We start from the raw sequence: 14384 nt of genomic DNA, 5'->3' as shown, positions 1-14384 counted from the left end.
CAGTGCGGTCACGTGTGCAGACGCCAGGCACATGCCGGGCTCTCGGGAACCGTCTCCGCAGCCGCCAGGTGGCACCTCCCCAGCCTCATGGCCGTCTCACGGTCGAGCCTCGATCCCCCAGCCTCATGGCCTTATGATGGCCCCCAGCCTCATGGCCTCGACCCTCCAGCCTCATGGCCGGGCGTGGGGCCCGGAACCTCCAGGCCCTCGGTCCTGAGCCGCCGCGTCCTGCTGCCGCTGCTTTTTCTGCTGCCGCTGAGCTCGGGTGAGGTGGGCGCTCCTCCGCAGCTCTACCTTCCCTCTCCCCGGCCCCAGCCCTGCTCCGCCTCCAGCTCCGTGCCTGGCCTTGGAGGCGGGGGACTGGCCCGGGGTGTGGCTGCCTACTCCTGGGTCGGGGATTTTTGCGGCCCACGCACCCCGCGGTCAGCTCTCCTCTACTACTCGCGCCCAGGACCTCGCCAGGGCGATTCCAGGATCTTAAACTCCTGCCCTCTCTGGCCTCCTCCGTCAGGGCACACCTGTCCTACAGCGCCCTGAACCAGCGGTGCGGGAACCCCTTTCGCTGCCAGTCTGGACACCGTGGCTAATGTCCCTACCACCCGAGCCGCCCTCAGGCCTCTCATAGGCTCCCCCTCCACCCCCCGCTCTGATCTTCTCATGGAGCTGAGCCCCACTGGAGACCCCACTTGGACATGCTCTTTGGCCCAGGAAAATTCTTGGTCCCCATCCACTACAGGAATATTCTAAAATTCACCTTCTTCCCAGATCCTCTATTCCAACCCAGCTTGCCTCCCTAGCAGCCCATCATTCCCTCAGAAAACACAGGCTTTGGGTGCTGTCTTCCTGAACCCAATCCCCAAACCCACAGGGGCCCCTCCAAACTGGACTGCTCAACACCACCCTCACCTACTTCTTTAGGAGTCAGAGAGGCCTGCTTCTGGTGCAGGGCCAGCGGCTCACCTGTGCCCTGCTGTGTGGGCTCTCCCTGTGCGACACTCCCTCCACCATCCTCTCTCATAGGTATCCTCTTGTTTTTGCTTTGCTGATTTTTCTCCCCCATCTCTTGCCCCTTCACTGCGAGACCTCCCAAATGTCTTCACTCCATGCTTCCTGCCAGTGCCTCCTCGCTCTCCACTTAACCCTTAGTTCCTTCCTGGGCTCTCTCCACCCTGATCATCCCTGACCTTTGTACCACCCCCTCCTCTTTCATTTTCTGTGGTCTCCTGATTCTCCTCTACCTCAAGGGTAACTCCCCCTCTCCTCTGTGTCTGTCCCATGCCACCGTGCTCTGTTCATCCCAGACGTGTTGGTGTCCCCTAAGCTGCTCTCTTTTTCCTGCTCCTCCCCTCTTAACTGCTCCCTGGGTGAACTCACTTGAGCTGCCATTTATGTGATGGTGCCTCATAAAACATGTCTGGATGTGCAGCTGCCTCCTGGACATCTCTACCTGAAAGACCTAGGAACATCTCAACCCCTTGGGGTCAATGCTGAGGTCTTCTTCTTCTTGCCAACTGACTTCTCTCATTGTTTCCTAACTAAGTGGATGGCAGCCACTTTTCTCCAAAATCAGAAACTGCGGTGTGATCCTAGACCCACCCATGTGCCTAAGTCCCCCAGACAGCTCACCGTGTCTGTTCTCACAGCCACTTCCTCATTCGGACCTCCTCATTTCTTGCCTTGGTTCTGCAGAGCCTCTGGTGGGATCTCAGTGCCTCAGTCTTGTCATCTTCCTGTCTAATATCTGGGCTGCCTATGCAAGCCTGGCTCAGTCATACCTCTGTTGATCTCCCTTTTCCCAGAGGGTCTCACCCTGGCTTCTTGGCCAGGCTTTCGAGGCCTTCATGACTGATGCCTGACTCTCCTCCCCTGGCTCATCTCTTGCCATCACAGGTCTTGCCCTTCATCCTCTGCAGTCTGGCATACACGACGATGTTTCTCCTGCAAGGAATGTGATGATCACTTTTCATTTCTGTTTACCTTCTCATCTTTAACACCTGGCACAGTAAGCCCTCCTCCCACTGAAGTGGTCTTTTCTGTCCACCACTTCTTCTGGGCTCCCCTGAAGCCTGCCACCCTGTCCCTGCACTGATCTCATGCAGGTGGTTGTGTATTTACCTCTGTCCACCCTGCTGGACACTGTATTCCTTGAGAGTAGGCTCTATTTGACACACCTCTGTCTCCCCAGCCTCTGGCTCCAGGCTGGGAACAGAGTGGGAGATTAGGACCTATTTGGTGAATGAATGAATGAACTAATTTAAAAATGCACCTCTTTGCTGTCATCCTGTCGTGAATGCTTGCTTCATCTCTGTCCCTCTTTTCTCCTCCAGGTTATAAAGAGGACACAACCAATCCAGGTAGGTAGGGTGAGACCCTGCTGCAGGAAAAGCTGAAGCTCTTGGGAGGGTATGTCTGAAGGGAGTCACATAGACAGTGGTGCTGGGTTTGTAGGAAGCAGGCATTTGGTCTAAGGGGTCTGTTTTCTAAAGAACAGCCTGCAGCTACCAGAACATATAGACCTAACAGTCTAGAGGAAAGAGGATCTTGGCCTCCCATAAGAATGCTGAGCCTCTTGGAATTCAGCCCAGGCCTCATCTCAGACCCTTTTGCACACAGAACCTTTTGAGCTCTAAGCCATTCAGTTGCAGATAGAACTTCCTGGGCCTTGTGGCAGTGTCAGTAGAGCCCAGCTCTTCTGGGTTTCCTGTCTTTTTCCTTACACCTTAGGCATGGAGCGTTGGGTTACTCCTGTTCTTCAGTTTATGGGCCTCTATTCTCATCGGTCCTGCCAGAACTCTACCCTAATTCATTATAGAATGGATGACTGATGGATTAAGTTAGTTATCCTTGCTTCTGTCCAAGCTCCACTCCCATTCCCCTTCTCCACCCGCTTAATCTTTCTTGGGGATCTTTCTGTTTGTGTGTGCTCTTGTAAAAATACATATTGCTGTCTTGTGTGCATGTATTTTTAATTTACATAAATGGTATGTTCTCTGTATCTCTTTCGGTTATCCCTTTTAATTCAGCCTCATTAAGACTTTTTAAAATTTGGAAATAATTTTAAACTTACAAAACACTGCAAAAATACAAGTAGTACAAGGAACACGCATACATATATAATTTTTTTCAGAATCAGTGGAGGGTAACATACAGCATGGCTCTTTATTGCTAAATACTTTGGTATGTATTTTCTGAGAATATTCTCTTCCATAACTACAGTGTGCTTAACAACTTCAAAAGTTTACATTCATACCGTACTTTTATCTACTATCCATATTCTAATTTGGTCAGTTCTCTAAACTCCTACTTCAGCAGTGCATGAAGGTGTATAGGTTGCCACAGACCTACCAACCCTTAGTGTGATCCTGCGTTTATGTTTTTTGCCAATCTAATAGATTGAAAAATCACTTATTGATTTAATTTTCATTTTTCTCATTACTGATGAGTTTGATCATGTCTCAATATGTTGTTGGCTTCTTGAGTTTCCTCTTCTAATAAATTGCTTGTCTCTATCCTTTGCCTATTATCTTTTTTTTTCTTGTTGGTTTCCTAAAGTTTCTTGCATAAAGTCTTGTATTCATTTTAGATATTGCAAATATTTCCTCCCTATCTGTCCTCTGTCTGTTAACTTTGCTCCCGGGCCAAAACCTCTCGATTTTGATATAATCACGTTAATCAGTTTATGCTTTATGGTTTGTGTTTGAGGTTTTAAGGAGTCCTTTCCTACCCCATGTCACATGATTTATTTATTTTACAGTTTTACCTTTTACCTTTAGATCTTCAAGTGCTATTAGCAAAGAATCCAGTTTTGGTTTTCTTATTTCTCTTATAGTGAGCGAGTTTTCCCAACACCATGTACTCAACAGTCCTTCTTTTACCCACTGATAGTGGTGGCTCCTTTCTTTACATCAAGTTTGTGCAGCACATGAAACAATCTCAAGCTCTCTATTCTTTTCCATTGTCACTTTCCATTGTCTGTCCTTGTGACAGTACCACATTGTTTTTATTATTATGGCTTTCACATGTGTCTTAATATCTGCTAGGACAAATGACCCTTCTTTGCTGTGCTTCTTCAAAGACTGAACTATTCATAGACCTTTGTTTTTCTGTTTCAGTTTCAGAATAAGTTTATCAAGTTTCTTAAAAATTCTAACTTACAAAATGAATTTATAGATTAATTTTGGAAAAATTACATCTAAAATGTTTAGCTGGTCTTTTTTTTTTTTTTTTTTTTTTTTGAGACAGAATCTTGCACTATTGCCCAGGCTGGAGTTCAGTGGCGTGATCTTGGCTCACTGCAACCTCCGGCCCCTGGGTTCAAGCAATTCTCCTGCCTCAGCTTCCCGAGTAGCTGGGATTACAGGTGCCCGCCACCACGCCCAGCTAATTTTTTTGTATTTTTACTAGAGACGGGGTTTCACTATGTTGGCCAGGCTGGTCTCAAACTCCTGACCTTGTGATCCACTTGCCTGCGCCTCCCAAAGTGCTGGGATTACAGGCGTGAGCCATCGCGCCAGGCCTTAGCTGTTGTTTTAAGAGCAGGGACTGTCTTGCCATTTATGCTGATCATTTTCTGTGTCCTTTATTAGAGTTTTAAATTTATTACCACAGGAGTCTTATGTGGTGTTAGGTAAGTTAATTCCTATGAACTTTTATCATTTTTTCGCTGCTGAAAATGTATGTTACTTCAGTATATTTTCTAGTTGGTTGTGCTGGGATAAAAAAACATTATTGTTTTTAAAAGGAAATTGTTTTATTGAAGTATTATATGCATTCCAAAAAAAATGCACAAATTATGAAGGCCCAGCTGAAGGAATTGTCACACAGTGAGCATACCTGTGTTATCACCACCCAGGTTAAAAAGTAGAATAAGTATGTAGAGAGGCTGAGGTGCGAGGATTGCTTGAGCCCAGGAGTTTGAGACCAGCCCTGGCAACATAGCAAGACTGTCTCTATAAAAATTTTTTTAAAAATTAGCCAGGTGTGGTGGCAACTGCTTGTAGTCCTGGTGACTTGGGAGGCTGAGGTGAGAGGATCGCTTGAGCCTGGGAGGTCAAGGCTGCAGTGAGCTGTGACACTGCACTGCAGCCTGGGTGACAGAGTGAGACCCTGTCCCAAAAAAAAAAAAAAAGGCTAAACCAGCACCCAGCAGCCCCCTTGCGTTCTCTCAATTATTTCCTCTGCCCTCCTTCCACAAAGTGTCCTTATTCCTGGTCTCTGGTGGGATAGGTTCTTTTCTGCCTGTTCTTTAGTGTTGTATGATGTTTGTTGTAAGTTTGGGGTATATCCAACTTTTGTAAAGTTAAGGGTTTTCCATCTATTTCTAGTTTAAGTAAGAGGGGTTTTTTTGTAAGTTATAAATATGTGTTAAATTTTTCAAATGACTTTTTCTGTGTCCGTGGAGGAAAGCACATGGTCTTTCTGTCTTCAGATTGTTAGAACCTTTTATGTGGAGAATCCACTGAGAATTCTTTCAATGTGGAACCACCCTTGCACTCCTGGGCCAATCCTTAATCATCATGGTGCATTGTTTTTTAAAAATACAACATGAGCTACTATTTTATTTAGAATGCGTGCATCTGTGTTTCTTCATACGTTCATACAACCATATAACTTGACTGATAGAACTGTGTGAAAACTGAGTGTGTGACCTGTGAATGAGGGGCCTCTGGGGTCTCCCTGCTGGCACTTTGAATGTTCAATGTGAAAACTTCTGACACAGAAGTCAGGAGCTTTTCTTGACTCTTAGCAGTGTAGGGGACACAGGCCTTCTGCATCTAAGAAATGCAGCAAGCATTATAGCTTTTCAGAAGTGGCGGAGGAACTTCCCCAGATGCAAGAAAATGCATTTCTTGCCTTGGGGCTCCTTCTCTGCTTGCCTTGGGGCTCCTTCTCTGCTTGCCTTTGTTTTGAGGTCCTGGGCTGAAGGCTCCCTGTGACTCAGAATCTCTCTCTCTCCATGTCTCTGCCTTGATGCTTTTTACCTCTGTCACTGTCACTTTCCGTCAAGCTCAGTGCTTTTGGGCAGGCCACTGCCCTTCTCTCACCCTCACTCTCCCCATCTCTGAAATGGGAAGAGGCCCCGAGTTTACAGCTTTGTGCAAATTGGCCCTGTAGGGCATCTAGGTCTCAGTCTTTCTCATCCTCCTCTATGTGGTTCCTGTGTCTCCCTGGCACACTTCTTCCTGAAGTTTGTGGTGAGCCCTGGTGGTCGGAGGATTTGGAAATGACCCGCCATTGGCCCTGGGAGGTGAGCCTCCGGATGGAAAATGAGCACGTGTGTGGAGGGGCCCTCATTGACCCCAGCTGGGTGGTGACTGCGGCCCACTGCATCCAAGGGTGAGTATGGCCCATGTGTGCAGGGCTTGGAGACCTCAAGCTACCATGGGCCCAGCCCAGCTTCCTCATTTCCTGAGTGAAACAGTGTGGGAGGGAGGTAGGGAGTGGGAAGGGCATCTGGGATAAGTGAGAATTGTGCTCGGGGTCTCCTGGGGGCCAGGGACTGAGCTAGGGCGGGAGCCCCTAGCAACAAAGACTGCACCCTAAGCTGAGCAACAGGAAAACCCAGAACACGCCCCCTACCCCATCACGCATGAGAGCATATGTGTACACCAACACTTCCACACCTGCACGCACAACACACAGACCAGGCCACCTTGAATCAATTTGAATGATGAATGAGGAGGCAGTCAGCTCTGAGATCTTCAGTGCCCTCAGGCTGGATTAGGCAGATTGGGTGGAGGCAGGACTCTTGCTAAAGGGGTAGGGCCACGGGGAGGTAGGAGTGTGTTCCTGCTTGGGAGTCTGATACCTACCAGGTGGGGCTCTCTGTTTCCCACAGCACCAAAGAGTACTCAGTGGTGCTTGGCACCTCCAAGCTGCAGCCCATGAACTTCAGCAGGGCCCTCTGGGTCCCTGTGAGGGACATCATTATGCACCCCAAGTACTGGGGCCGGGCCTTCATCATGGGTGACGTTGCCCTTGTCCACCTTCAAACACCTGTCACCTTCAGTGAGTACGTGCAGCCCATCTGCCTCCCGGAGCCCAATTTCAACCTGAAGGTTGGGACGCAGTGTTGGGTGACTGGCTGGAGCCAGGTTAAGCAGCGCTTTTCAGATGAGCAGGATGGGATGGGGGGTGGGTGCAGTACCACCGAGAGCACACTCCTTTCCTTCTGGGGCCTTTCCTGCTGGACCTGGTTCTCTGAATGTGTTGACCACTCCTCATGTGGTGACCATTGTCACTGTTTATGTGGACACCTCATTCAGGCCTGGTAGTGCCTGGGCTGGGCATGACCATCTGTGTCTTATAGAAGCTCAGAGCTGGGCATTCACTCATTCCTTCACTTGACACACTTTGAGTGTCGGCACCCAGCCCTTGGGATTAGAAATGCATGCCCTGCCTGGAGGGAAGTCATGATTGGGTGTGGGTGTGGGCACAGGCTGAGGAGAACAAGGCAAAGTTCTTGTCTGGTGGTCTTGAGATCCAGCTGGGAGGGATCTGGAATGAGCTCTGGGCAGAGGGACTGCCTTGAGGCCCTGGAGGAGGAGCGAGTGTTAACGAAGGTGGGGAGAGCGGCCGTGCCAGCAGAGCTGAGAGTCTGCAGGGAAGCAGCGCGGGGCTGGGCCCCAGATTGGAAGCGGCTGCACTGAGACTTGAGTTATGGCTGGTTTGGTTCAGAAGCAGAAGTTTCCCAAGAAGGGGATCTGGACTCAGAGCCTTCGAGGGCGGGGGCTTTTCAGACAAGGCCTGCACTGCAGGGGGAGGGGCCGGTGAAGGAGGGGAGGGCTTGGAGGTATGACAGGCGGTGGCTGGGCTGAGTCTCCAGGGTGAAGGGGACAGGACCCTGGACAGAGGTCAGGGTTGGGTGGAGTGAGAGGTCACTGCTCACCCTGCTAGGCTCCACAGCCAACTCCATGCTGACCCCAGAGCTGCAGGAGGCTGAGGTGTTTATCATGGACAACAAGAGGTGTGACCGGCATTACAAGAAGTCCTTCTTCCCCCCAGTTGTCCCCCTTGTCCTGGGGGACATGATCTGTGCCACCAATTATGGGGAAAACTTGTGCTATGTGAGTTTCTGGGAGGTTCTGGTAGCTCTGCTTCTGCTGGGAACCACTCCTGGGTGGAGGCAGTTCCCTGGGGCGGGGTTGGCCCGGCCTCCCTCCGTTACCATCACCCAGTAGTGCTCTGCTCCTGTCTTCCTTCCCCTGTGATGCTGACTTTTGCCCTGATTCTGGGGTGTGGGTCCCAACTGAGGAGCCAAAAGAGGACCCCAAGTAGTGAGGTCCTGGAGGAGTGAAAACCCTCCCAGCAGAGCTCAGAGGGTGGGCATGGGTCCACAGGGCCCAGCAGGCCCAGCTGGACCCACAGCCTCCATCACTCCTCTCTTTTTGCCTAGGGGGATTCTGGAGGGCCATTGGCTTGTGAAGTTGAGGGCAGATGGATTCTGGCTGGGGTGTTGTCCTGGGAAAAGGCCTGCGTGAAGGCACAGAATCCAGGTGTGTACACCCGCATCACCAAATACACCAAATGGATCAAGAAGCAAATGAGCAATGGAGCCTTCTCAGGTCCCTGTGCCTCTGCCTGCCTCCTGTTCCTGTGCTGGCTGCTGCAGCCCCAGATGGGCTCCTGACCTCCCTACCTTTTCCTCCTCCTGCCTTGCCTCTGCTGAATGGGGCCAGATGGTTTGACCAAGGTCATGTGTCCATCTTCAAAAAGAGTCAGGGTGGGGAAGAGTAACCCCTGGGAGAATGGGTCTGGCTTTGGCATCCCGGTGAGGAGAAGTGTGGTGGATGACTAGGCCTTGGGTGAGCAGGAGAAGGGAAGTGTGGCCTAGAAGGATTCTGGAATCTGGGACCAGGAGAGCAGGGATTAAACATGTGCAAACTTGAGCTGACTCTTTTCTCTTTTCTGGGGTAGTCCTGGGGGTTGGCCGTGGGTGGGATGGCAGAGCTTCCTGGAATTAAGTCTGCCAGGAGGCTGTCTGGAGTGGGGACTGCTGGTTTTTGCTGTATCATTAGTGCTGGGGTTTAAGGAAAAAGTCTGGGCCTGTGACCTCAGTTTCCTTGTCTGTAAAGTGGGCATGCTGTTAAGGGAACAGTTGAAACATGCAGGCTTTTAGGCTGCAGTAGGAGTGACTCACAATAGTACTCCAAAAGCAGCTTTCTTTTTTTTTAAACCAATTATAAAAGTAGTGCATGTTTATTGTAGAAAATTAGAAAACATAGTCGAGCCTAAAGAAAATAGACGTCCCCTGGAGTCCCACCACATGGAGGCATCCGCTTCTCATTTTGGTATATCTTCTTCTACATTTTTTTCTTAAAAATTATTGCTCATAGGCCAGGCGTGGTGGCTCATGCCTGTAATCCCAGCACTTTGGGAGGCTGAGGCGGGTGGATCACGAGGTCAGGAGATCGAGACCATCCTGGCTAATATGGTGAAACCCCGTCTCTACTAAAAAATACAAAAAATTAGCTGGGCGTGGTGGTGGGCACCTGTAGTCCCAGTTACTCGGGAGGCTGAGGCAGGAGAATGGCTTGAACCTGGGAGGCGGAGCTTGCAGTGAGCCGAGATTGCGCCACTGCATTCCAGCCTGGGTGACAGAGTGAGACTCTGTCTCAAAAAAAAAAAAAAATCTATATATATCTCTAGAGCTATACAGATATATATCTATATATATCTCTAGAGATATATATCTACATATATCTATATATATCTCTAGAGAGATATATATCTACATATATCTCTAGAGAGATATATATCTACATATATCTCTCGAGAGATATATATCTACATATATCTCTAGAGAGATATATATCTACATATATCTCTAGAGAGATATATATCTACATATATCTCTAGAGAGATATATATCTACATATATCTCTAGAGAGATATATATCTACATATATCTCTAGAGAGATATATATCTACATATATGTCTATATATCTGTATATATAGATACATATATCTAGATATATATAGTGGGTTACACCCTATCAATATAAAACATGCCTTTTGTCCTATGTAACATTACTTGTTTTTTCAAAGATCCAGATCAGAGTTCATTCTTAATTTTGGCAGTTCTTCTAATTGATTAAGGTACAATTTTATATTTTGTACTTTTTTTCCTTCAGATTTTCCTCTGGTTTATTTTCTACTCTTTATAGTTTTTAGATTTGAGTATTTAGGTCATTTATTTTCATTCTCTGTTATTCAATAATAAATATCTTTAAGGTTATGAATTTGCCTTCAAATATATATATATATTTCAAAGATATATATATCTAGATATATATATATATCTCATAATCTTCTTTTTTAAGAAAAAAATGTAGAAGAAAATATACCAAAATGAGAAGTGGATGCCTCCATGTGATTATTTTATTGCTCTTTTTGTAACCTCTTGAGTAGTGGGCTTAGTTCATTATTTTAGAGTTCTTTGTGTTCTAGTATTTTCAGTTAATTCCATAAATTTTCCTCTGAGTCCCACTTTAGCCATATTTCACAGGATTTGATACGTACTGGCCTCATTGTCATTCATTTCTGTATTGTTTATAATTTCACAGTATATTTCTTATTTAGTCCAAGAGTTATATAGAAGGGTGTTATTTAATTTCCTGATGGGTAGTTCTTGGGAGGAATGAGGGCTTCTTTTTCTCTATATCACTACAGTCATATGCCACATAATGACATTTCAGTCGATTACAGACCACATATACAAGAGTGGTCCCATAAGATTATAATGGAGCATATATAGAAACCTGATATATGGTAGTTGATAGTGGCATTGCAGACAAGTAAGGGAATGACTGACATTCACTAATGGTGCTGGGACATTTGGTTTTCCTGATGAAAAAATACATATACATAAAAATATATATGTACCATCTAGGCGTGTGTAAGCACAGTCTTATGTTTGCATGGTGATGAAATTGCCTAACAATGCATTTCTCATACTGTATCCCTGTCATTAAGTGATGCACGACTGTGTATGAATTTAATTATTTCTGCATTTTTGAATTTTTTGAGGTTTTATTTGTGGCTTAGTATTTGGTTAGTCTTAGTGAGTGTTGTGCGTCTGAAATGAAAGTGTGTGTTTTCACAAGTGTTCATTGCAGCACTATTCACAATAGCCAAGACATGGAATCAACCTAAAGGCCTATCAATGACACTGGATAAAGAAAATGTGTTACACAAACACCATGGAATACTATGCAGCCATAAAAAAGAAAGAGATACGTCTTTTGCGGGAAAATGGTTGGAGCTGGAGGCCATTATCCTTAGCAAACTAATGCAGGAACAGAAAACCAGATACCACATGTTCTCACTTCTAAGTGGGAGCTAAATGATGAGAACACATGGACACATAGAGGGGAACAACAGCAGCATTGTTCCTGGAGCCTCCTTGGTTTTAGTGATGCAAAGGAGGAGGGAGAGGAGCAGAAAAAATAATTGTTGGATACAAGGCATAGTATCTGGGTGATGAAATAATCTGTACAACAAACCCCTGTGACACAAGTTTACCTAAGTAACAAACCTGCACATGTACTCCTGAACCTAAAATAGTTAAAAGTGTGTGTTTTAGAACGAAGTTTGAGCCATAACTGATTGGATCAGGCTTGTTGATTGTGTTATTCAAATTATCTCAACACCTGACATATTTTACGGCTGCATAATTTGTTGATTTCTAAGAAGTTTACTGCAAAACTTAAGAATTTGCCTATTTCTTCTTGCACAATTCTTGCTTTCTATGTTTCAAAGCTGTGTTGTTAGGAATACAGGGTTCATGCCTGCTGTATTATCTTAGTGGGTTACACCCTATCAATATAAAACATGCCTTTTGTCCTATGTAACATTACTTGTTTTTTCAAAGATCCAGATCAGAGTTCATTCTTAATTTTGGCAGTTCTTCTAATTGATTGAGGTACAATTTTATATTTTGTACTTTTTTTCCTTCAGATTTTCCTCTGGTTTATTTTCCACTTTTTATAGTTTTTAGATTTGAGTATTTAGGTCATTTATTTTCATTCTCTGTTATTCAATACTAAATATCTTTAAGGTTATGAATTTGCCTTGGGCACACCCAGTAAGGTTTTTAAATAACGTATTGCTCTAATTATTAGTATTATTTTATTAGTAGTTTATAGCTATTCCGTCTCTCAAGGACAGAGTGAGTTGGAGAAGACTCTCCCACTGCAAGAGAGATTTTCCAGCTTCTCATGTGTTGCTGATTGATTTTGTTTCATATGTTTGATGTTATTTTATTGATGGACAGAACTTTATGATGTTACATATTGCAATTTGTGCCTTTTTCAACACAAAATAGCTTTCTTTTTCTGTTTAAATAATTTGTCTTGAATCATTTTTAGAGATTCACATTGCCATTGCCACTTTTGCTTGCATATAAATATATTTTTGCCTATCTTTTAAAAATTTAATTAATTTCTAATTTTTAAAATTAATATTTTTTGAGACAGGGTCTCATTCTGTTGCCCAGTCTGGAGTGCAGTGGCGTGATCTCAGCTCACCACAATCTCAGCCTCCCGGGTAGCTGGGACCACAGGTGCATGCCACCACACCTGGCTAATTTTTTAAATTTTTTCTAAAGACGAGGTCTCACTATGTTGGCTAGGCTGGTGTCGAACTCCTGGGCTCAAGCCATCCACCCACCCCAGCCTCCCAAAGTTCTGGGATTGCAGGTGTGAGCCACCAAGCCCAGCCACATCTTTTTACTTTCACCTTATTTATGCCACTTTGTTTTTGGTGTGTCTTTAATAAGTAGTATGTGGATGGGTTTTTTTCTACCCAACATGAAGATCTTTTTATTTTAAAAGTAGAATTCTATGCATTCACATTGGTTGTGATAACAGATATGCCTGATCTTTATTCAGTTATCCTGTTTTGTTTTATTGATTGGTTGTTTCCCCCAAAGAATTATTTTCTGCAAAGGCAGAAGAGTGATAGCGTTTCTCTTCTCTGAAGTTTCTCTTTTCTTTCTCCCTCTTTCCCTTTCTATGTCTTTCCCCCTGGAGGGAATTTGATTGTACAGATAATAATTTCCTTGATTTTCTACCATATAGCTCTAAAATTAGTTTGTTTTGCCTGTTTTTTAATTTCATACAGTACACAGACTGTATCTGACTTTTGTATCTGAATTGTCTCACTCAGAATAGGGTTATGAGCGTCACCTTCCAGCTAGGTGTAGCAGCAGCTCATCCATTCTCACTGCCGCTGAAGATTCCGCGTAGCTGTTGCACCTTGGATGGCAGTTGGGTAGTTTCCAGCTGGGACCCTTCCCAGCAGCACTGCTAGTGAACAGTCTCTTGCACCTGTCCTGCTGCATCTGTGCAGTTTCTAGGGCATGAAGCCAGGAGTAGAACTGTGGGTTGTGGGGTAGGCACACTTTCTGCTCTGCTAAATGATTCCAAACAGTCATTTATAGTGGTCATGTCAGTTTATCTCCCCAGCAGTGTGTGAACAACCTCGTCACTCCGTGTCCTTGGCAGCACTGGCTGCAGGGTGGAGCAGGAGCTTCCTGCATGGACAGTGTGAGGAGCCTGGGATCCTTGGGAAGGGAGACCTCGGGGGAGTGGTGACGAGGTGTCCCCAGATGTCATTCATTCTGCTGATTTGTGAAGACCCAAGTCTGCAAGTGGCTTCCTCTTAGGAAGCCACCCTGCCAGGTTAAACATACCTAGATTTCCTCAACCCAGGAGCTCTTTCCTTTGAAAATACAGACCTTGGGCTGGGCATAGTGGCTCATGCCTGTAATCCCTGGAGCTTGAGACCAGGGCAGCACAGTGAGACCTTGTCTCTCAAAAAATTAAAAAAAATTAGCCAGGCATGATGGTGCACACCTGTGGTCCTAGCTACTCGGGAGGCTAAGGTAGGAGGATTGCTTGAGCCTGGGAGGTGGAGGCTGCAGTGAGCTATGATCTCACCACCATCACACTCCAGCGTGGTGACAGAATGAGACCCTGTCTGGAAAAAAAAAAAAAAAGAAAAGTAAAGAAAATACAGACCCTGAGGGAAAAAAGAAACCTCCAGTTCCACCTCAATCACATCACATACTACAAGAACTAGTTATCTCCCTCTCAGTGCCTCAGTTTCCACACCTCCAGGGAGGCGTGAGAGGGGGTTCACAAAGGAGCCTGGGCTGGGCACTAGGGTGCTTCATGGGCCAGGTACCAGGCACTGTCACGAGCCAGGCACATCGTACTGTCACAGGCTCAGAACTACACACTGGGGGCACCATCAAGGCCAAGGCTGGACATAGGGTACACTGCAGAGAGCTGGGCCTAGGAGGCACTGTCACGGGCCGAGCACCGGGAGTACCACTCCAGGGAGGTTCCTGACAGCAGCATCACCTTGTGGCCCTGGCAGG

The 14384-nt window shown here is 46.1% G+C and overlaps 1 pseudogene across 1 annotated transcript; it reads left to right on the top strand.

The window, feature by feature from the left end:
• The first annotated feature begins 6223 nt into the window (after positions 1-6223).
• On the top strand, positions 6224-8888 carry PRSS45P (serine protease 45, pseudogene; annotated as a pseudogene). The gene is made up of 4 exons (NR_160553.1): positions 6224-6336; positions 6839-7008; positions 7897-8066; positions 8396-8888. The product of NR_160553.1 is annotated as a serine protease 45, pseudogene (transcript).
• Positions 8889-14384: the final 5496 nt, after the last annotated feature.

The sequence above is a fragment of the Homo sapiens genome, chromosome 3 (genome assembly GCF_000001405.40).
Source record: "Homo sapiens chromosome 3, GRCh38.p14 Primary Assembly".
Taxonomy (NCBI): domain Eukaryota; kingdom Metazoa; phylum Chordata; class Mammalia; order Primates; family Hominidae; genus Homo; species Homo sapiens.
Note: the sequence above shows the minus strand (reverse complement) of the source record. Positions and strands in the feature narration are given on the sequence as shown.